The sequence below is a fragment of the Homo sapiens genome, chromosome 7, assembly GCF_000001405.40.
Source record: "Homo sapiens chromosome 7, GRCh38.p14 Primary Assembly".
Classification (NCBI taxonomy): Eukaryota; Metazoa; Chordata; class Mammalia; order Primates; family Hominidae; genus Homo; species Homo sapiens.
In genome coordinates this window covers 64,234,207-64,257,513 of record NC_000007.14, presented here as the reverse complement: position 1 = coordinate 64,257,513, position 23,307 = coordinate 64,234,207, and the positions used below count along the sequence as shown (strand labels likewise).

Below are 23,307 nucleotides of genomic sequence, written 5' to 3'. Positions count from 1 at the left end.
TGTTGAATAATTTTTAGCATTTGGATTAAGAGCACAGCATTTTTATTTATTCCTATGTTTCTCTATCATTAATTTTTAAAAGAAAATATATAGAACAATAAATCAATACAAAAAACATCTGAAATGATACAATCACATAAAAATTGAATAATCAACTTCCAAATGGCTATTTTGTAAATAATGAAATTAAGGCAGAAATAAAAAAAGTTTTGAAACTAATTAGAGCTGAAATACAACATACCAGAAGCTCTGGGTCACAGCTAAGGGAGTGATAAGAACAAAGTGTATAACACTACACATCCACACCAAAGAGTTAGAAAGATCTCAATTTACAAACCTGATGTTATAATTACAAGAATTCCAAAAGTAAGAGCAAACTAACTTCAAATAACCAACTTCTTCAAATAACTTCAAATAACTTCAAACTAACTTCAAATAACTTCAAACTAACTTCAAATAACCAAAATCATAGCTGAAATTAAGAAGGTGAGACATAAATAACCATAAAAAGTTTAACAGGCCAGGCACAGTGGCTCACGACTATAATCCCAGCACTTTGGGAGGCCAAGACGGGCGGATCATGATGTCAGGAGTTCAAGACCAGCCTGGCTAACATGGTGAAATCCCGTCTCTAGTAGAAATACAAATATTAGCTGGGCATGGTGGCGGGTGCCTGCAATCCCACCTACTCAGGAGGCTGAGACAGGAGAATTGCTTGAAACCAGAAGGCGGAGTTTGCAGTGAGCTGAGATCATGCCACTGCACTCCAGCCTGGGCGAAAGAGTGAAACTCCGTCTCAAAAAAAAAAAAAAAAAAGTTCAACGAAACCAGAAGTTGATTCTATGAAAAAATTAATATGATAGATAAAATACTAGATTAATGAAGAAAAAAGAAATAATTCAAATAAACACACTCAGACTAAAAAGTCCAAAACAACAGATGCTTGTGAGGTTGTGGAGAAATGGAATGCTTATATGCTGCTGGAGAGCGTATAAATTTGTTTAACCATTGAGAAAAACAGTTTGGCAATTTTTCAATAACCTGAAAATAGAATTACCATTTGACCCAGCAATCCCACAATTGGGAATATAACCAATGAATGTAAGTTATTCTACCATAAAGACACATGCACACACATGTTTATTACAGCACTATTTACGATATGAAAAACAAGACATAAACCTGTATGTCTTCAATGGTAGATTGGATAAAGAAAATGTGGATGTACACACCATGAAATATGATGCAGCTATAAGAAAGGAAAACATCATGTCCTTTGCAGCAACATGAATGGAGCAGGAGACCGTCATTTTTAGAAAACTAGTGCAGGAACAGAAAATCAAATACTGTATGTTGTCACTTATAAATGGGAGCAAAATAATGAGAACACGTGGACACAAATAAGAGAACAGACACTGAAGCCCAGTTCAGCGTGGAGGGTCAGAGGATGAAGAAAATCAGAAAAAAAATCTATTGGGTACTATGCTTAGTACCTGAGTGATAAAATAATCTGCACACAAAAACTTCATGATATGATTTTACCTATATAACAAACTTGCATATGTACTGTTGAATCTAAAATAAAAGGTAAAAGAAAAAAAATTCTGCCAGGCGCGGTGGCTCACACCTGTAATCCCAACCCTTTGGGAGGTTGAGGCAGGCAGATCACCTGAGGCTAGGAGTTCAAGACAAGCCTGGCCAACATGGTGAAACCCTGTCTCTACTAAAAATACAAAATTTAGCTGGGTGTGGTGGCATGCACCTATAATTCCAGCTACTCAGGAGGCTGAGGCGGGAGAGTCTCTTGAACCCGGGAGGCGGAGGTTGCAGTGAGCCGAGATCATGCCACTGTACTCCAGCCTGGGTGACAGAGCAAGACTCTGTCTCAAAAAAAAAATAAAAAAAATCATGGGTGGGAAAGAGTGCAAGGTAAGTGATAGGACTGGTTTGTACTACAGACAGAGGTCCATGTGGGGCTATACTCTGATTTAGTCCTGTGTCCATGCAGGCAGATTAGACTATGATCAAGTGGTACAGATCCCTACATTGGTGGAGGAAACAGGTTGCTACTGCAGATTCAGTGTCTGGGGTTGGGGATATGCCAGGAAACGTGTAGGCACATTAATGGGATTTTGGCAAGAAGCACTAAAAGCAAAAGCGCTGTGGTGGAATACTTGAGGGTGATACCTAGTCCTGGGAGGGGTGTGGACGCATCAATGTCTAGTGGGTCTGTGAATGTGTGAGAATCATGTGGTGGTAGCGGTGAAAGAAGGAGGTCTGTTATCAGAATTCCTTTTCTCTAAGTTTTTAGTCCCCTGTCACCCTGAGAGGAGACCTAGAATCACAGGACAATGTGCAGTGTGACAGCCTGTGTGCAGGAGAACAGAGCCTCACCTTACCAGACACCCAGAGTCCCCCTCCAGGCCAGGCCTCTGTAATATCTCTTTTCTGACACCAAATCTGTGGAGTTTGCTAACTAGGAAGCAATTTTTTTTCTTTTTTTTTTTTTTTTTTGAGATGGAGTCTCACTCTGTTGCCCAGGCTGGAGTGCAGTGGCATGATCTCAGCTCACTGCAACCTCCACCTCCTGAGTTCAAGTGATTCTCCTGCCTCAGCCTCCTGAGTAGCTGGGATTACAGGCACCTGTCACCACGCTCAGCTAATTTCTGTATTTTTGGTAGAGATGGGATTTCACCATGTTGGCCAGGTTGGCAACAAGCAACTTTTTACCACCAACTTATTGTCTAACATTTCCATCCTGATACCACCTGGAGTCAGCACAGACCATAATTCAGAGCTCAGTCTCATCATATTGCCCTTACTGCATATGCCTGTCACAAATCCCGGGGACTCATCTATGCTTCTCAGCTACTGTCTGTAAACTGGGGACTCCCATAATCTCCCTCAAGTTCAATAATTTGATAGAGATACTCACAGAATTCTGCAAAATCCTGTACTTAATGTTAGCCAGTTTACTATAAAACATGCAACCAAGAAACAGTGAAATGGAAAAGATGTATAAGACAAAAAAAAAATGTTGGGGAAGATGGGGCATTTGGATAATCTTGGTAAATAGCTGTGATTAGTAAAATTCTCCAGCCTGGCATGATGGCTCATGCCTGTAATTCTAGCACTTTGGGAGGCTGAGGCAGGTGGATCACCTGAGGTCAGGAGTTTGAGACCAACCTGGCCAACATGGAGAAAACCCATCTCTACTAAAAATACAAAAAATTAGACATGGTGGGCCTGTAATCCTAGCTACTTGGGAGGCTAAGGCAGGAGTATTGTTTGAACCTGAAAGATGGAGGTTGCAGTGAGCTGAGATCGCGCCACTGCATTCCAGCCTGGGTGACAGAGCAAGACTTTGTCTCAAAAAAAAAAAAGTAATAATAAAATAAAATAAAACAAAATAAAATTCTCCATCCTTTGTGGTCTTCAGCAACAGCTTAACAGAAAGAAACGTTCTCCCCATTATGACTTAGATGGTGTTGTATTTTCTCACTTATCACATAGCCAGACATAAACTCTGCAAATTTCTACTTTTCTTATAAAAGAATCTGCTAAATACTTTTCTTCAGTGGTCAAAACAAAATACTTCTTAATCAACTTTGCTTACATTTTTCTTTTTTCCCAGGGCTTCTGACCTTTGAGCTACTTTCAGTCTAAGCCAACATACAACCCCATTTTCTGTCTTTCCTTAAAAACATGCTGTCTTCAGGGTAAAACATTCTCTGATCTAGAATCTAATTTTGCCCCCTTATATCATACCATTCTTACTTACTCCACCTTCTTTCTAAATTTGTTTGCTATTCTCTATGAAAGAAAGTCCTTGTCTGCCTAAACATTGATATCCTTAAAAATCTTATACCTGGTACTTTTTTCTGTTGTTGGGATTCAGAACTTATTACCTAAATCTGATTTTGTTTTATTTTACAAAGTCTAGAAACTGACCCAAAACAGCAACACCTTTATTTTAAGTAAGGTCTTTCCAATTCCCATCTATTCTAACTCTGACTGAATCTGCCTGTGGGTCCCCAGCTTTCCTGGGCTCTGTTGCTCATCTCAGTATAAAGGCTTCTTCCTTTGCTGGTGTGAGCAGGCTGGGACATCTGCTGGAGAGGCTCCCTAGAAAGAACTGACTAGGCCTTCATTAACCTCCTTTTGCAGACTCAATATTGCCCTTAGCTTGGAGTTACAGGGCTCAGGCTTTAATTTCCAAGTCAGAGATGTTCACTTAGTTTTTGAAACTAAGTGTTAGATAAATTCAGAAAAATTACTGAAACACAGTGTTTATACAAAGGGAAAAAATGTTAAGGTGCTTATATTTTATAGCTCAATGAGAAAAGCAAAAGTATCTATCTCTTTCAGACAATACACATATCATTTTCTTATTTCCATAACAGGACATTCTGTAATTAGTACTATGACCAAATTCCTAGAAGGTGCGCAGTCCCATCTCATAAAGTTATCATAAAATTCAGAAATCAAGATAACAGGGCCAGGAGCAGTGGCTCTTGCCTGTAATCCCAGCATTTGGAGAGGCCCAGGTGGCTGGATCACCTGAGGTCAGGAGTTCGAGACCAGCCTGGCCAACATGGCAAAACCCCGTCCCTACTGAAAATACAGAAATTAGCCGGGCATGGCGGCAGGTGCCTGTAATCCCAGCTACCTGGGAGGCTGAGGCAAGAGAATCACTTGAACCCAGTTTTCGGAGGTTGCAGTGAGCCAAGATCATGCCACTGCACTCCAGCCTGGGCAACAGAGTGAGACTCCGTCTCAAAAATAAAAATAAAAATAAGATAACAGGATGTAGAACAGAAGTATTTACTGTCACATTAATTTTGCAAAAAGAGACACTGATGTTTTGATGAATCTATGTAATTCCCCAGTTATCTACCACATTTTCTTGTGCAAATGTATTCATTTCCGACAGCCATAATGGAAGAGACATTTTTCATATTATTTCCCTTGGTAATATTCACAAAGCTAAGCCTTAGAATACTGTGTGAAATCACACAGCCAAAAAATAACACACCTGAGAAAACTTCTATGCTCACTCTGAAAAACAAAAGGGTAAATGCAAATTTTTAACAAACAGAATACATGACTAAATTTTTTTTCTGAAACTCATCTCTTTCACGACCTTTGTAAATATTTTGTTACATATTGAGCTCTACTGATAAAATGCAATTTACAGTTAACTAACATAAGTTGAAAGAAGTGAAAATATCTTTTCAAGGTGACCAACCCAGGGAGTGGCAGTGCTGATTGGAACACAGACACGTCTGACTCATGTGTCAAGTCAAACTATCTAATCATTTGAGAGTCTCCCACGTGCATCCTGCTCACTGAAATGCTCAATGACAACCATTCCAGGAGACACTGCACCGTGCCTTGGTGAGTTCCCCAGGTGCAATTACTTTGAGATTCTTGCACCATCTTATTGGGGTCAGTTTTTCTTGCCTTTAGAAATAGTTTTTTTCCTTCACAAATCTGACAGAATCCAGAGGGCAGAAATTACTTCTGTGTTTTTCCCTCAATACCAGCATATGATTGGCTAACTAGCAATGTGTCTCCATGAAATGGAAGCTGAGTTGGGTAAAGACAATTCTAATGTCGCAAGGGATTAGCTTTTTATAGGAAAAGTATACTAGGAGATTGCTCACAGCCCCAAGGCATTCGTTTGCTCTCTTCTCTTGCAAGGCTACACTTCATATCATGTGCTGTTCTCTAAAAGAAAATAACTCAGGAGATGATATTCACTAGACACTCCAGCAGACATGGCCAAGGTGGGTTGATATTCACTAGACACTGTGGCAGACATGGTCACGGTGGGTATCTTGGTTTATCCCAAAGCAGTACTAAGACCCAGAACCAGGAAAAACCTAAAGTGTGGCTGAAGAAACATTACCCTGTAGGGTTTCCCCCAAAAAAACTCAACCCACGCATTATGATAAGATGTCTGAGCTTGAACAAGACAAAAGAAGAGGCACATAGATTTTTTTACAACACAGTGTCAGAGGATTACTCTCTGCCTTTTCTCTTCTTTTCTTTTTTTTTGAGATATGGTCTCACTCTGTTGTCAAGGCTGGAGTGCACTGGCATGATCTTGGCTCACTGGAACCTCCATTTCCTGGATTCAAGTGATTTTCTTGTCTCAGCCTCCTGAGTAGCTGGGATTAGAGGCGCCCACCACCACACCTGGCTAATTTTTTTGTATTTTTAGTAGAGATGGGGTTTCATCATGTTGGCCAGGCTGGTTTCTAACTCCTGACCTCAAGTGATCTGCACCTTGGTCTTCCAAAGTGTTAGGATTATAGTTGTGAGCCACTGCGCCTGACCTCTGCTTTCTTCTTATGTGAAATATTTATAAACGGGAAACTTTTTTTTAACAAAGCATTGAATGGCACTCTTTAAGTGTCATCCAATGACTTTTAAAAAAATAATTAGTGTAAGTACTGTGTCTGAAACATATAAGAAAGGACAAATAGGTAATAATGTGAGTTAGAAAGAAAAGTTGGCATTTGGGAATGTCAGATGGAACTGGAAATTTAATATTTTACTGCAAGGCAGTTAGTCTGTGGGAACAGGGAAACTGACTTAAGACCTTGTTTAAGACACGGTTGAGGCCTGGCGTGGTGGCTCACGCCTGTAATCCCAGCACTTGGGAGGCCAAGCAGGCGGATCATCTGAGGTCAGGCATTCGAGACCAGCCTGGCCAACATGGCGAAACCCCATCTCTACTAAAAATACAAAAATTAGCTGGGTGTGGTGGTGCAGGCCTGTAATCCCAGTTATTCGGGAGGCTGAGGCAGGAGAATCACTTGAACCAGGGAGGCAGAGGTTGTAATGAGGCAAGATTGAGCCACTGCACTCCAGCCTGGGTGACGGAATGGGGCTCCGTCTCAAAAAAAAGAAAAAAAAAGACACAGTTGAAAAATGCAGGCTGCCTGCAATAGCTTATTCCTGTAATCAGAGCACTTTAAGTGGCAAAGGCGGCCAGATCACTTGAGGCCAGGAGTTTGAGACCAGCCTGTCCAACATGGCAAAACTCTATCTTTACTAAAAATACAAAAATTAGCCGGGCGTGGTGGTGGGTGCCTTTAATCCCAGCTACTCAAGAGGCTGAGGCAGGAAAATCACTTCAACCCAGGAGGTGGAGGTTGCAGTGAGCTGAGATCACATCACTGCACTGCAGCCTGAGCAACAGAGCAAGAATCTGTCTCAAAAAAAAAAAAAAAAAAAAAACCAAGGGAAAGCCAGTTTCCTGTAGAGTATAAAAATATTTAAACAGCAGGCAATTAGACTAAGGTGGATTGATTTTTCTCAGCTCTCACTTAAAAAAAAAATCTAACTCAAATGTATCTCTTATGGCCAGGGGCGGTGGCTCATGCCTGTAATCCCAGCACTTTGGTAGGCCGAGAAGGGCAGATCATTTCAGGTCAGGAGTTCGAGACCAGCCTGGCCAACATGGTGAAACCCCATCTCTACTAAAAATACAAAAATTAGCCAGGCACGGTGGCGGGCACCCATAATCCCAGCTACTTGGGAGCCTGAGGCGTGAGAACTGCTTGAACCTGGGAGGCAGAAGTTGCAGTGAGCCAAGATAGTGCCATTGCACTCCAGTAAGGACAACAGAGCAAGACTCCCTCTCAAAAAAAATATTGCATTTCTTGGAAATTACTATATTGAAGAAAAAAATTCAGGCCTAGTCAACCACAGACTGCTAATTAATCTGTGATGACATAGCCAAGAAATTTTCACCTGGATCTTACAAATAAGGAAACGACATAACTTTACCAAAGCAGTTACTGAATTTGGTTTGCTTCATCATGCAACTTATAACAGACTTCTTCAAGTCTCTCCCATGGACCACAACCCACAAACCATAGCTGGGCACTCTATGATTCTTGAATCACATTTTGATCAAATTGTCTAATATTTTTACAGTGACTCCCATACATTTCTAAAAGGAAAAATGAGGAACTAGGGACCCCAGGGACCACAGCTCTTTCCACTTATGAATCCCACACCCTGAGTCGGGATTCTCCCCTGATGACTTTCCCATCCCTGTACAATCTGGGTGAGATGAGGCGCTGGGAGTGCAGAGCTGCCCAGAGAGGGCTCCAGTCCAGGGCAAAGCCACTGCAAAGGAAAAAGAATTCCTAGGGTCCTAGCCGCTGGCCCAGGCACCATATTATGGCTCGAGGGGACTAACAGCCCACCTGGGCCAAGGAGGATTTGGGTCCTCAGACTCCGGAGCTGACTGCGAGGAAGTTTGGGTCCTGCTACAGCCACTTTCAGCCGGTTCCAACCAGCCCTCACCCCTCTCTCACGGTGACAGACCCAGCACTCACCATTTCTCGGCTTCCAGGGGATCCCGGTCTTTTAGCCATAAATCTGCGGATACCTGCAGAACACAAGGCCACAGTGGCTTGGCCTCTAGGAACAGAGGACGCAGAGCAGTGAAGAGAAGAACTGGAGCTCTGGACGCAGAGAAACACAAAGGACCCGGAAAATTACGGAGGCATCCTGTTCTCTCCAGCTGCATGCCTGATTGTACAGTTTCTAATATATGGCCCCTGATTGGATAAGGTTTCAGGACCCACCCTTCACGCCCTGAGTGACGAAAAATGTGATCAGACACTGGGCTAAACAAAGCAAAAATAACAGGCTAGGCTGCAGCCTTTACAGCTAAGCCTTCTTCCCTGATCTGAGCCAGGCCAACCTTAGAGGACATTTGCATTTAACCTTGTGTATAACGTCATATGCATTTATAAATGGTATATAATATAGTTATTCATAAACTGAAAAAACATAATGACAATTATTTTAAAATTTCAGATTTTATGACCTTCCTTGCTGCGGGTCCTTTGCAGTGATATGGTTTGGCTCTGTGGCTCCACCCAAATCTCATCTCAAATTGTAATTCATGGCCAGGCGTGGGGGCTCAGGCCTGTAATCCCAGCACTTTGGGAGGGTGAGGCGGGTGGATAATGAGGTCAGGAGTTGGAGACCAGCCTGGCCAATACGGTGAAACCCTGTCTGTACTAAAAATACAAAACTTAGCCAGGGTGTTGGCGGGCGTCTGTAGTCCCAGCTACTCAGGAGGCTGAGGCAGAAAAATCGCTTGAACCCGGGAGGGGGAGTTTGCAGTGAGCCGAGATCGTGCCACTGCACTGCAGCCTGGGCGAAAGAGCCAGACTCGGTCTCAAAAAAAAAAAAAATTGTATTTGCCACATGTCCGGGCAGAGACCAGGTGGGAGGTGATTGGATTATTAGGGGGGATTATCCTCATGCTGTTCTTGTGATAGTAAGGGAGCTCTCAAGATATTTTAAAATGTGGCATGTTCCCCATCCCCGGTTCTCTTTTTCCACCAAGTAAGATATTGCCTTGCTTTCCCTTCACCTTCTGTCATGGTCATGATTGTAGGTTTCCTGAGGATTCCTCAGCCATGTAGAATTATGATTCAATTAAACCACTTAAAAAAAAAGTACGCAGTCTGAGGTATTTGTTTATAGCAGTGTGAAAATGGACTAATACATGCAGGCAGCCTGAGATTTCAAAAAGGAGGCAATCCTCTGCAGTAAAATATGAGCCACATGTAAATTTTGAATGTGCTAGTAGCCAAATATTAAAAAGTAAAAAAAAAAACATGGTAGGGCCAGGCGCAGAGGCTCACGGTTGTAATCCCTGCACTTTCAGTGGCCGAGGTGGTCGACCACCTGAAGTCAGGAGTTTGAGATCAGCCTAGCTAACATGGCAAAACCTCATCTCTACTAAAAATACAAAAATTAGCCAAGCATGGTGACAGACACTTGTAATCAGCTATTTGGGAGGCTGAGGCAGGAGAATCGCCTGAACCCAGGAGGCAGAGGTTGCAGTGAGCCGAGATCGTGCCACCGCAATATAGCCTGGTGACAGAGCGACTGTCTCAAAATAAGAAAGAAACAGGTGGAATAACAAGTGAAATTGATTGTAACAATTTAATCAGTCCAATATATCCAAAATATTATTTTAATATGTGATTAGTATGTAAGGGTTAATAAAGCATATACATTTTTAAAGCTAAATATTTTAATGTAACCTTGTATTTTACCTTTCTAGCATATTGCAGTTCAGACCAGCCACATTCCAGCACTCTGTGGCCATGTCAGAGGCGTTTGAACCAGAGCAACTGCATCTGGAATAGGTGCTGGGTGAAATGGGGCTGAGACCTACAGGACTGCATTTCCATGAGGTCGGGCATTCTAAGTCAGAGGATAAATAGGAGATTGGCACAAGATGCAGTTCACAAAGACCTTGCTGATAAAACAGTTTGCAGTAGAGAAGCCAGAAAAATCCACCAAAACCAAGGTGGGAATGAAAGTGACCTCTGATTGTCCTCAGGAATCATTACACGCTAATTATAATGCATTAGCATGCGAAAGACATTCCCACCAGTGCCATGACAGTTAACGAATGCCATGGCAACATCAGAAAGTGACCTTACATGGTCTAAAAAGAAGATAAACACAGTTCTGGGAATTGCCCATCCCTTTCTTGCAAAACTCATGAACAATCCACCCCTTGTTTAGCATATAATCAAGAAATAACTGTAAGTATTTTTAGTTGAGCAGCCCACACTGCTGCTGTGTCTAAGGAGTAGCTATTCTTTTATTCCTTTACTTTCCTAATAAATTTGCTTTTGCTTTGCACTGCAGACTCGCCCAAAATCCCTCCCTTCCTTCCTTCCTTCCCTCCTTCCTTCCTTTCTTTCTCTTTCTTTTTCTTTCTTTTCTTTCTTTCTTTTGACAGAGTCCTGCTCAGTCACCCAGGCTGGAGTGCAGTGGCACCATCTCGGCTCACTGCAACCTCTGCCTCCCGGGTTCAAGAGATTCTCCTGCCTCAGCTTCTGGAGGAGCCGGGATTACAGGTGCACACCACCATGCCCAGCTAATTTTTGTATTTTTAGTAGAGATGGGGTTTCACCATGTTGGCCAGATTGATCTCAAACTCCTGACCTCAAGTGATCTGCCCGCCTTTGCCTCCAAAGTGCTGGGGTTACAGCCATGAGCCACCACCCCCAGCTCTGCATTCTTTCTTGTACGAGATCCAAGAACCCACTCTTCGGTTCTGGATTGGGACCATTTCTGGAATCTTCTTTTCAGTGAATCACAAAAGGATGATGCTAAGGAAACGCCCAACCCAAAGGAAATAGACTGAATCGCCAATTGGCTAACTTTTTGTAAGTGATGGCACACCTGGGTAAAGAATGGGATTGGGTTAATACCCCAATTTAGGGGAGTTAGAGTGTCTCCTAAGACAGATAAGATAAAAGGTCCCTTTTAATAAAAGGCAAGAACACTTGACGAAACTCGTGTTTGAGGTGCAACTTAGAAAAGTTAGTCTTTCCTAAGATTTAGGGGGTGAGAGGCCCCTCTCCGTAAAGTCCCTCTCAGCTAAGATTAGATTTGGCATTATGGAACTTTAACCACTATTGTCTTTGTGTTTGTTTGTTTGTTTTGAGACGGAGTCTCGCTCTTGTTGCCCAGGCTGGAGTGTAATCGTGAGATCTTGGCTCACTGCAACCTCTGCCTCCCAGGTTCAAGCGATTCTCCTGCCTCAGCCTCCTGAGTACCTGGGATTACAGGCACCCACCACCACACCCAGATAATTTTTGTACTCTTAGTAGAGACAAGGTTTCACCATGTTGGCCAGGCTGGCCTCAAACTCCTGACCTCAGCTGATCCACCACCTCGGCCTCCCGAGGTACTGGAATTACAGGCATGAGCCACCATGCCTGGCCCTGTCTTTGGATTAATCTGCCTTGCATTTTTTGCTGATGACTGTGGCTGACAGAATTAGATGAGTACAGGATCATGGAACAAGGGGAGCTTTTTCCTCCCTAAAGTGGGAAACTTGAGAGCAGATGGGACTGCCAAAAAAGATTCTTTCACAACCAACAAGAGATCACCTAAACTTTTGATTCAATGCGTGGGTCTTTCTCTAGTTTTCCTGATCTCCTCAACTTTCCTGCCTTACCATAAGCAATGCTTTCTCTCTCTCTCCCTCTCTCTCTCTCTCTCCCTCTCTCTCTCTCTCTCTCTCTTTCTCTCTCTCCCTTTCCTATCTTTTCTGTTACTCTGGGCCACCATCTTCCCCAAAGATCACATGTTGAAACTTCTGGTCAGAAGTCCCTGAAACAGGCCGGGCATGGTGACTCATGCTTGTAATCCTAGAACCTTGGGAGGCCGAGGCAGGTGGATCACCTGAGTGGGGGGGTTCAAGACCAGCCTGGCCAACATGGCAAAACCTTGTCTCTACTAAAAATACAAAAATTAGCCAGGGTGGTGGTGGGTGCCTGTAGTCCCAGCTACTCAGGAGGCTGGGGCAGGGAGAACTGCTTGAACTTGGGAAGCAGAGGTTGCAGTAAGCCGAGATGGCACCACTGCACTCCAGCCTGGGAGACAGAGCAAGACTCCATCTCAAAAAGCTAAAAAACAAAGAAAGAAGAAGTCCCTGAAACAAACAACAACAAAATGGATGAAGTTTCCCTCTTGTTTTATGTTCTTGAGAGCTTGACCTTGTAGCCATGTGGCAGTATTTTCTCTTGGTTTCTACCATCCAGCATATAGAAATTTTGAAATTTGTGTTATAGTTATCCATAAAAGTGATCTTGAGCAGTAAACAACCTTTGCAAGCTCAAAATTGGCTGCTGGAGGCTTCTTCTGGGAGACCCCAATGGAGACTGCTCAGTGCTGTAGCTCAGTAGCTGGGCTTTGCTGTCTCACAGTGGCAGCCCGAGTTCAGGGTTCAATTTCTGGCTTAGGAAATGAGTCATTTGTGATTTGATATCTGTGTGAATATTTGTGGATTCGCTTTCCCTCCATGAACCATCCTGAATTGTCCTTTCTCTGAGCTACTTTGAAGATTCTAGATTTTGTAAAAACTGCTTGCCATCTTTTTGAAAATACTTTGTACACTTGTGGTTAGGTTCATAACCGTAGTTAAAGCTTATGGGTTTCAGGAGGCTGAGGTTGCGGTGAGCCGCATTTGGCCACTGCACTCCAGCCTGGGCGACAGAGAGAGAATCCGTCACAAAACAAACAAAAATATAACTTATTGATTTCACCTGGGAGGTTATGTTAGTAAAGTTCAAAAGTCAGAAATATTGGCAGTTTGGCATGGCTAAAGTCAAGTAATTAGAGAATTAAATAATTTTTTTAAAAAGAGCATCACAGTTAAAAGTCAGCTTAATTATTATTACCATTATTATTTTGTGAGATGGAGTCTCGCTCTGTCACTCAGGCTGGAGTGCAGTGGCACAATCTTGGCTCACTGCAACCTCCACCTACCGGGATCAAGCAATTTTCCTGCCTCAGCCTCCCAAGTAGCTGACATTGCACATGCCCATCACCACACCTGGCTAATTTTTGCATTTTTATTAGAGACCAAGTTTCACCATATTGGTCAGGCTGTCTTGGAACTCCTGACCTCATGATCTGCCCGCCTCAGACTGCCAAAGTGCTGGGATTACAGACTTGAGCCACCGTGTCTGGCCCAAAAGTCAACTTAATTAATTGCAGATATTCAAGCTCTAACAGCCTGGAACTCCTTGGAAAAAACAGAGGAGGTGCCACAATATGCATTTTGGGTGCAACTCACAGGAGATATTGACTCTGATCCTGAAGTTGGGCATGTAAGAGATTGTAAATTTTATCTCTGGACCTTTTCACAGACGTGATTGTGACGTATACCTTCACTCAGTATCTGACTGATTTTTCTCTTTTGCCTAGGCCTCACCTACAGTTTAGATTGTGAAATATACTTAGATTGAGCGCCTAGATAATGTGACTCCTGCCTGGGCTTTGCCCTCCTGGGGTATTGGGACATATTTCTGAGCCAATCACCTAGGCGATATGACTCTCCCTTTCTGCCTGGGCCAGTCCACAGGGGTTACTGTGAGATATCTTTAGGCCCATCACCTTTGTTATGTGATTCTTTTTTGCCTTGAATCTATTTACAGGAGAAATGGTTACATATCACTGGGCCCATCACCTAGATGATGTGACTGTCGTCTACCTGGAACATGTTTACAGGGTGGATTGTGACATATTGCTTTTCCTAGCACCCAGATGTGAATTTTATTGTCAGGACCCTACCTATAGTAAAAATATTGACATATCGCTGGCCCAGCACCTAGTTGATGGGACTCTCCCTCCTAGTCTCTGCCCACAGGTGGGATGGTTACACATTAGGCCCAGCTGACAGGTATAATGAAGACTCGCGTATGCAAACCCAGCCAATGGAAGAGATTTTAACTCTTCTAGGTAGGCTTAGACAAACAGGTAATGATCTGGGCCTTCTACATGTGCAAAGATCACACAATATATCACACTCATGCATATTCTATAAAGTCTTTGGGTGATATAAAGAGTGTCATATCAGGGTCCAGCACAGAAGTAAAATTGTGACTCTTACAGGCACACCCAGCAGACAATTAAAACTGTCTCCCTCACACATTGACAAAACTTACTGGTGAGGTCCTGACTCTCATATGACAACACAATACACAGTTAGAATATTGGCCATCCCATGTGGATCTGGACAAAGGTCAGGTGGTGAGTCATAGCTGGGTCCAGCTTACAGGCCCAGCAATGGCTCTTATACCCGGACCTTGCTAATAGAAGAGGTGTTGACTCTCATAGCTGGGTTTAGGCCAAAAAATAAAATTCTGGCTTTTCTACTTAAAAAAAAAAAAATCACAGGTGATTACCACACACATGCATATTGTCTAAAGCCCTCAGATGGGACAGAGAGTGTTATAGTAGGGCCCAGCACAACACTGAGGTTGTGACTATTGGATGCACACTCAGCTGACTGTTAAAATTGTCACCTTTATATAGGGAGAGAGCAAAATAGTTCCTGAATCTCACTGACAGATACAGTCCACAGTTGGATCATGCCTGTCACATGTGGATTGAGCCACAGGAGGGATATTGACCAATTTTTGTAACCAGATTATAGGAACAAAAATGACTCCCTTACCTGGACCTAAAGATTGGAGAGATGTTGACTCTCACACCTGGGCTTAGGGCAATGGGTGTGATCCTACATTTGGGATTGTAACAAAAGCCTGGGCAAGCACAAAGGTCTCGAAGCAGATGGTGAGTCTCACATGTGCCATATAAAACCTGCAAGTGGTACAGTGTCATAACAGGGACCAGCAAACAGGTGAGATTCTCTCATATGCACACATGGCTAATAGTAAGAATTGTCACCCTCTCACATGAACACAGCCTTCGTAAAATGTCCTGAATCTCACACTCAGAGGCAGTCAAAAATCGGAATTGTGACTTTCAGATGTGAATGCAGTCCACAGGTAGGTTGGTGACTCTCACACCAAGATTCAGCACCCCTGTGAGGCTGTGACTCCCCTACTGGGACACTGTTTATAAGTGGGGTTCGGGCTGTTATGCACAGAGCCAGTGCACTGTTGAGGTTGTGATTCAAGTACTTAAACACATATCCCAAGATATGTTGACTGTCATAAGTGAAGCCAGCACATTTGTGGGGTTTTAAATCTTATCCTTAAACCTTTCTGCAGGTGTGATTGTGACAATTACATTTCCCAGCATCTGATTAATTTTACTGTATTGTCTTGGCCCAGTGTACAGTTAAGATTGTAACATATACCTGGGCCATGCACAAAATTTATGTTTCTCTCCTGCATGAGCCCTGTCCTCAGGAGAAATTACAAAATATCTCTGGGCCAATCATCAAAGTGAAGTGAGTCTCTTTTTCGGCCTGGGTCCTATCCTTAGTTGGGATTGTGACCTATCACTGGACCTTTAACCCAAATGATATAACTCTTTATCCTGGGTTCTTATTACAGAAGGCATTGTGAAATATCTCTAGACCCATCACCTAGGTGATGTGATTCTTCTTTCCTGCCTGAACCCTGCCCGCAAGAGGCATTGTGACATATCACTGGCCCCAGCTTCTAGGTGATGTAACTGTACTGCCTTGGCCCTGCCCATAGGGGACATTGTGACATATCGCTGGGCCCACCACCTAGGTGATATGACCCTCCTGAATTGCCCCTGCACTAAGGGGAGATTTTGACTCTGCCCAAAGTGGCAATTGTGACATATCTCTGGCCAGCACCCAGGTGATGCAACCCTTGTGCGTGGTCTGTCTCCACAATTGGGATTGGGAAATACACATGGGCACAGCTTACAGGTGGAATGATGACTCATACCTGAAGATATTTTGACTCTTGTAGTTAGTCTTAGGGCAAAAACTAAGGTTCTGGGTCTTTAACTTGCAGGATGGTCACAGACTATTATGACTTGCATGCACGTTGTATGAAGCCCTCAAGTGCTACAGAGTGCCATAATAGAGCCCAGCACACAGGGAAAATTGTGGCTGTTGTATGCAAACTCAGACAAAAGTAAGGACTGTCACCCTTCCACATTAACAGAACCCACTGTTAAGGTTCTGAATCACACACCAAGAGCCAGTAGAGTTGGAATTGTGAATCTCATACATTAATCCAATCGACAGATGAGATGATAACACCAAGTCCTGGATTTAGAACACCTGGGGGCTGTGCTTCCTCTATCAAAACACAGTCTGTTGGTGAGATTTGGGCTCTCGTGCATTGATTTAGTCCACTGTTGTGATTGACTTGCATAGTTGAACTCAATCCACAAGAGGTGTTGACTCTTATACCTTTAGCAGGAAAATGTCCCGGATTGTGAATTTCTGCTATTGACTGGGTCCAGGTATTAGTTCCATTACTGTTCCTGTGAGCTGGGTTCAAAAATGAGTCACTGTCTCACCTGTGGCTGCATCTACATATGACAATCACAATTCCAAGTCTGGATTGCATTTATGTGTGAGATTTAGGACCTCGCCAGTGACCACTGACTATGTGTGAGGGTGACAATTCTATCAGCTGGATGTGCATATGACAGTCACAATGTCACCTTTGTTCTGGGTCCTGTTATGACACTGTATCACATGCGGGCTTCATACAATATGCCTCAGTATCATAATACACTATGTCCTTTATTTAAGTAGGAGACCCAGGACCTTGCCTGTTGCCCTAAGCCTAGATATCAGAGTTAAAATCTGTTCTCTTAGCTGGATCCAAGTATGAGAGTCATCATCTCACCTTTGAGCTGTGACCATGTATGTGTCACAATACACCTGTGGGCAGGAACCAGACATAAGAGTCATATCACCTGGGTGCTGGGTAAGTGATATACCATAATTCTTACTTTGAGAAGAGTCCAGACAACAGAGGAGAGACACATCACTTTTATGATTGGCCAAGTGATGGGTGAAAATCCTCTCTGAGAGCAGGGCCCATTCAGGAGAGTCATATCACCTAGCTGCTTGGCCAAGCAATATATATCACAATGCCCCCTTTGCACAGGGCCAACACAGTACAGTTCCATGACCAGGGAGCTGGTTCCAGCTATATGTCACAATTCCTTTTGTGGAAAGTGTCCAGTTAGAAGAACAGAGTCACATCACCTAGGCGATGGGCCTAGAGAGATGCCACAGTGCCACTTGTGGGCTGGGCCCTGGGGGAAGAATAACTTCACCCAGTACTGGGCCCAGCAATATGTTGTGATGAGAACTGTAAAACAGTTCCAGGCAAGAGAGGAGAATCACATCATCATGTTGACAAGCCAAGAAATATTTCACAATCCCCCCTGTGCACACGTCCTAGGCAGAAGACCTGAATTACCTTTTTACTTAGGCCAGTAATGTCACAATGCTTCTTCAGGGCAGGGCACAAATAAGATAGGACAGTCATGTCATTAAGTGCTAGGCTTGGTGATATGTCATAACCTTACCTGTGGGCAGGGTCCAGGCAGGAAAGAAGATTTACATCACCTAGGTGCTCAATAAAGAGATATATTACAATTCCTTTGAAGGAAGTGGCCAGACAAAATAGTCACATCATCTAGGTGCTTGGCCCAGGTACAAGTCACAAGATATCTGTGTGTTGAGACCAGAAGGACTAGCAAATTACTAAGGTTCTAGGTAGAAGTGCATGTCACAGTTACATCTGCAGGAAGGCCCAGGAATGGGACTCCCAATTACCCACATTTCCCCACTCCAGGTGTAAGAGTCAACAACTCCTGAGACTTAGGTCCAAGTACATGAGTCACAATCTCAATAGTGGATTGCATCCTCTCATGAGAGCCCCAATCCCTTCTCCAAGCTGTGTCCCAGTAGGGGTGTCACAACCTCAATGGTGTGCTGAATCCTGGTTGGAGAGTCCCCACTTCACCTGTGGACTGGATCCGTATATGAGAGTCACAATTACAACTCTTAACTGCCCCTGGGTTTGAGATTCAGAACCTCAATCATGAGCTGTGTACACATGGGCATGTGACAATTACTACTTTTGGCTGTGTGTTCCTACAAGACTCTCAATCTCACCTGTGTTCTGGGCCCTGTTATGAGACTCTCTGTACCACCCACGGGGTTTATTGGATATGCATGGGTGACATAATCCTCTGTGATCTTCATACAAGTAGAAGACCCAGGACCTTACCCCTTGCCCTAGGCCTATCTATGAGAGTCTAAATCTCTCTCTTTGACTGGGCCTACGTGTAATGCCTGTAAGCTGGGTCAAAGTATATGTCACCATGTCAACTGTGGGGATCTATGGGCAGGTGCAGTGAGAGTCAAGATGGGAGGAGGGTTTTGATGTCCTCTGTAGGATGTAATTGTTATTGTTTTGGGGCTGTTTTCAGATATTGTCAAATAAAATAAATTTATATGTAGGTATGAAATAACTTCATTCTAAAGTAGTGTTGTGGCTGGGCACAGTGGCTCATGCCTGTAATCCCAGCACTTTGGGAGGCCAAGGCAGATGGATCACTTGAGGTCAGGTGTTCAGGACCAGTCTGGTCAACATGGTGAAACCCTGTCTCTACTAACAATACAAAGATTAGCTAGGCGTGGTGGTGGGTACCTGTAATCCCAGCTACTCGGGAGGCGAAGGCAGGAGAATCGCTTGAACCCTGGAGGCACAGGGTGCAGTGAGCTGAGATCGCACCACTGCACTCCAGCCTGGAGTGAGTGAGACTCTGTTTCAAATAAAATTAATAGTGTTGCAATGGGGGAAGCACCAAACATAATAGCTACATACGTCTCAAAGTTAGGCTGAAAAGGGCTGTCATTCATATGGAGGAGCAAGAAAGATTAGAAAGAAGGTGGGAGAGGAGGGCAGAATGGAGGGTGGAAAAATCAATGCAATAGAGAATGTTGCACCCTGAAGTCAGCCTGTTCTTGGGAGGGACATGAAGAGGAGTTGTATGTTTGCTCAGACTGGAGGTGGAGCAGAGTCCAAGGGTCTGGGGGAAAGATAAAAACTTAAGCAAAGTTTGCTTAACAGGTATTTTCTTGTGAACCCTGAAGATAAAACTATTTAATTGTGTGTGAAGAACAATGGTAATGATCCTGACCATCAGTCACAATGGTAAGGATCTTTCTTTGCAGTAAGTTGTTCTTACAGAACACAAAGCATTAGAGAGTTTTCTTAATTGTAACTATTTACCAGGACTCACCATCCACCCCATCTTTCTCTCCCACTTTTCTGTGCCCTATACATTTTTTTCCAATTGGCATTTTCTGAATTATATTATTTATAATAACCTGGTAAAGTTCTATCAAATTTATGAGTAGGTTTATCAAATTATTAAACTTCAGGGAGAAGTTATAAAAAGCCCATAATTTATAGATAGCTGCTTATAGGCATAGATGGGCCCATGGTGCCCGTCACTGGTGTGTGCACTGGGGACTGTATTGAGGAACTGAGTCCTGATGTGGTTGGGTCCATGATGACTCTTGATTCTGTCAGAATTGAGTTGTTGAACACCCAGTTGGTGTTGAATAGTTGGCTGGTGTCAGCAAATGCCGTGTGTTTGGTCTAAAAAGAAAGACATCACTGCAGCCTTGGCTGGAGGGAGACTGTGAGTCTTTTGGGGAATGGAGACTCTATTCTTCAGCACACAAGCTGTTGCGCTGTGAATTGTCCTGTGATTCCATGTCTCATCCGGGTTCAGGGGGAACTGAGAACTCAAAGGAAAGCAGTTCTGAGGGCGGACTCCTCTCCCCACCTGGCTGCTAGAAAGTGATTCCTGCACACTCACACCCATGCACCCTGGGCAGTGATGTAGCTACAGTCCTCCCATGACAAGGCTTCACCTTCAGAAATTGTGCTGAAATTACTTCTGTTGCTAGAGTTTTCCACCTATAGGCTACGTAAGTGCCCAGAGGACTCATGGTTTCTTTTTATGCCCAGATCTTGAATCTGCACCAGTGACCCGTTTTCTCCACTAGCCTAGGATTCTGGGTCATCCATCCCTCCCATCTGCCTGCATGCACACATTTATAAGTCAGAGCTATCTTGCCTGGACCAGTCTCTGTAGCCCTAACCAGTCTTTTCACCAACTGTGTACTGTTCCCTACCCATAGGTTTCTTTCTTTCTTTCTTTCTTTTTCTTTCTTTCTTTCTTTCTTTCTTTTTCTTTCTTTCTTTCTTTCTTTCTTTCTTTCTTTCTTTCTTTCTTTCTTTCTTCTTTCTTTCTTTCTTTTTTTCTTTTTCTTTTTTTCTTTCTTTCTCTTTCTTCTTTCTTTTTTTCTTTCTTTTGTTTCTTTCTCTCCTTTTTTCCTTCTTTCTCTTTCTTTCTTTCTTTTTCTTTCCTTCTCCTTTCCTTTCCTTTCGAGTTTCACTCTTGTCGCCCAGGCTGGAGTGCAATGACAGGATCTTGGCTCACGGCAACCTCTGCCTCCTGAGTTTCAGTGATGCTTCTGCTTCAGCCTCCCAAGCAGCTGGAAGTACAAGTGCGTGCACTACACCTGGCTAATTTTTGTATTTTTAAGAGATGAGGTTTCGCCATTTTGGCCAGGCTGGTCTCAAACTCCTGACCTTAGGTGATCCACCCACCTCAGCCTCCACAAAGTGCTGGGATTACAGGAGTGAGGCACTGAGCCCTGCCCCCATAGACTTTTTATATCAGGTTCTCTTATTCTGCCCTTTTTTTTTTCCCCCCACAAACGCTCTTTTACAAACTCAAAACCACACCTCTGGTGCCTAAATACAAACCCTACTGGAAATCAAATGACGATGAATTCAGGATAAATTTTTTGGGCCTGCTTATTGTAAGCGTAAATACAAAATAAAAATAAGACAATCATTCAACTTAAAAATAAAAAAAAGAATTTACTCCTTTTTTTTGACAGAGTCTCATCCTGTTGCCCAGGCTGGAGTGCGATGGCTCAATCTCAGCTCACTGCAACTTCTGCCTACTGAGTTCAAGCAATTCTCCTGCCTCAGCCTCCTGAGTAGCTGGGATTACAGGTGTGAGCCACCACACCAGGCTAATTTTTGTATTTTTAGTAGAGACAGGGTTTCACCATGTTGGTCAGGCTGGTCTTGAACTCCTGACCTCATGATCCACCCACCTTGGCCTCCCACAGTGTTGGGATTACAGGCGTGAGGCACCACGCCCGGCCTCTTCTTTTTTAAAAAAAGAAATTTTTTTTATTTAGATACATTTTATATGTAAATTCTTTCTCTGCTTCTTATCTTTTTTGTGTCTTTTAAGTATCTATGAAATCTATCTCTGCTCTAATTTTTATTCCTTTTTCTTCTTTCCTTCCTTCCTTTCTCTCTCTCTCTGTCTCTTTCTTTCTTTCTTTCTTTCTTTCTTGACGGGGTTTCGCTCTTGTCGCCCAGGCTGGAGTGCAGTGGCATGATCTCGGCTCATGGCAACCTCTGCCTCTTGGGTTCCAGCGATGCTTCTGCCTCAGTCTCCTGAGTAGCTGGAATTACAGGCTTGTGCCACCGTGCCTGGCTAATTTTTGTAGTTTTAGTAAAGACAGGGTTTCACCATTTTGGGCAACCTGGTCTTGATCTCCTGACCTTAGGTGATCCACCCACATCGGCCTTTCAAAGTGCTGGGATTACAGGCATGAGCCACCTAGCCTGGCCTATTTTTTTTTGTTATGCTAATGCTGGGATTATTTAGTTGTTCTTTTTCAAGTATTTTGTGGATTAAAGTTATGTTTTTTATTTGACATCTTTTCCTTTTTCTTAATATAGCAATATAGCACTATAAATTTATGTTTTAGAACTGTTTTGTGGGTTTGTCTTTTTTTTTTTGTATCTCAGAAGTTATTGTATGTTGTTTCTATTTTCTTTTTTTGTCAATATACTTTCTGATTTCCCTTTGGTTTTTCTCTTTGGCCCATGGGTTGTTCAGGAACATGTTGTTTACTATCCACATATTTGTGAGTTTTTAAATTTTTCTTTGGCTATTGATTTCTCATTTTATTAAATTATAATTTAAAAAGTTGATATGGCCGGGCTCAGTGGCTTACACCTGTAATCCCAGCACTTCGGGAGGCTGAAGCAGGTGTATCACCTGAGGTCAGGAGTTTAAGACCAGCCTGGCCAACATGGCGAAACCCTGTCTCTAGAAAAAATACAAAAATTAGCCAGGCATGGTGGCACATGCCTGTAGTCCCAGCTACTCGAGAGGCTGAGGCGCAAGAATCGCTTGAACCCTGGAGGTAGAGGTTTCAGTGAGCTGAGATTGTGCCATAGCACCCCAGCCTGGGTGACAGAGCGAGACTCTGTCTTGAAAAAAAAGTATATTATATGAGTCCCCTAGACCTAGAAAGTGCTGCTGAGGTCACCACTGGGCAGGACATGAGAGGTATATTAGTCTTCTATTGCTCCATAACAAGTCCCCACAAATGTAGTGGCTTAGAACACACCCATTTGCTAGCTCGTAGTCCTGTAGAACTTATGGTTCAGGGTCCAGAAGACTCCGTTGGGCTCTATGCTTTGGTTTTCACAACGCTGAAGTCAGTATATCAACCAGGCTGGGCTCTCATCTAGAGGTGCTGGGAAGAACCCATTTCTAAACCCATTCTGGTTGTTGCCAATTTCCAATTCCTCATGGTTGTAGGACTGGGATCCTTGTTCCCTTGCTCGCTGCTAGCTAGGACCCGCTCTCTGTAAGTAGATGTCCCCCCACATTTTACTCAATTTGCTCCCTCCATCTTCAAAGTCAGCAAAAGTGCATCGCATCTCCAGCCTACTTTGAATCTCTGACTTCCTCCTCTGCTGCTGGCCAGAGAAAGCTCTCTAGAGGTGGGGTCTGAATTCTGATTACCCACCAGGAGGTTTGCCTTTGCACTGTTTGAGTGCACACATTTGTTAAAAGTCTCACACCCACTCCAGTATTTCTTTGATCTTCTAAGGCATTCTGATGGTCATAGTGATT

At 43.3% G+C, this 23,307-nt stretch overlaps 1 protein-coding gene across 2 annotated transcripts in view; it reads right to left on the bottom strand.

The window, feature by feature from the left end:
* Nucleotides 1-23,307, bottom strand: part of ZNF679 (zinc finger protein 679) — a 38,458-nt gene that overhangs the window by 9,418 nt on the left and 5,733 nt on the right. Inside the window, exons 1-2 of one of the 2 annotated variants that reach the window (XM_017011797.1) lie at nt 15,032-15,171; nt 8,358-8,486 (exon numbers count right to left, since the gene is read on the bottom strand). In XM_017011797.1, coding sequence (XP_016867286.1) covers nt 8,358-8,396 — 39 coding nt within the window. In that variant the 5' untranslated portion in view covers nt 8,397-8,486; nt 15,032-15,171. Of the gene's footprint in view, nt 1-8,357; nt 8,487-15,031; nt 15,172-23,307 lie in introns of those variants that run through there. The other variant, NM_153363.3, reaches the window with a different exon arrangement.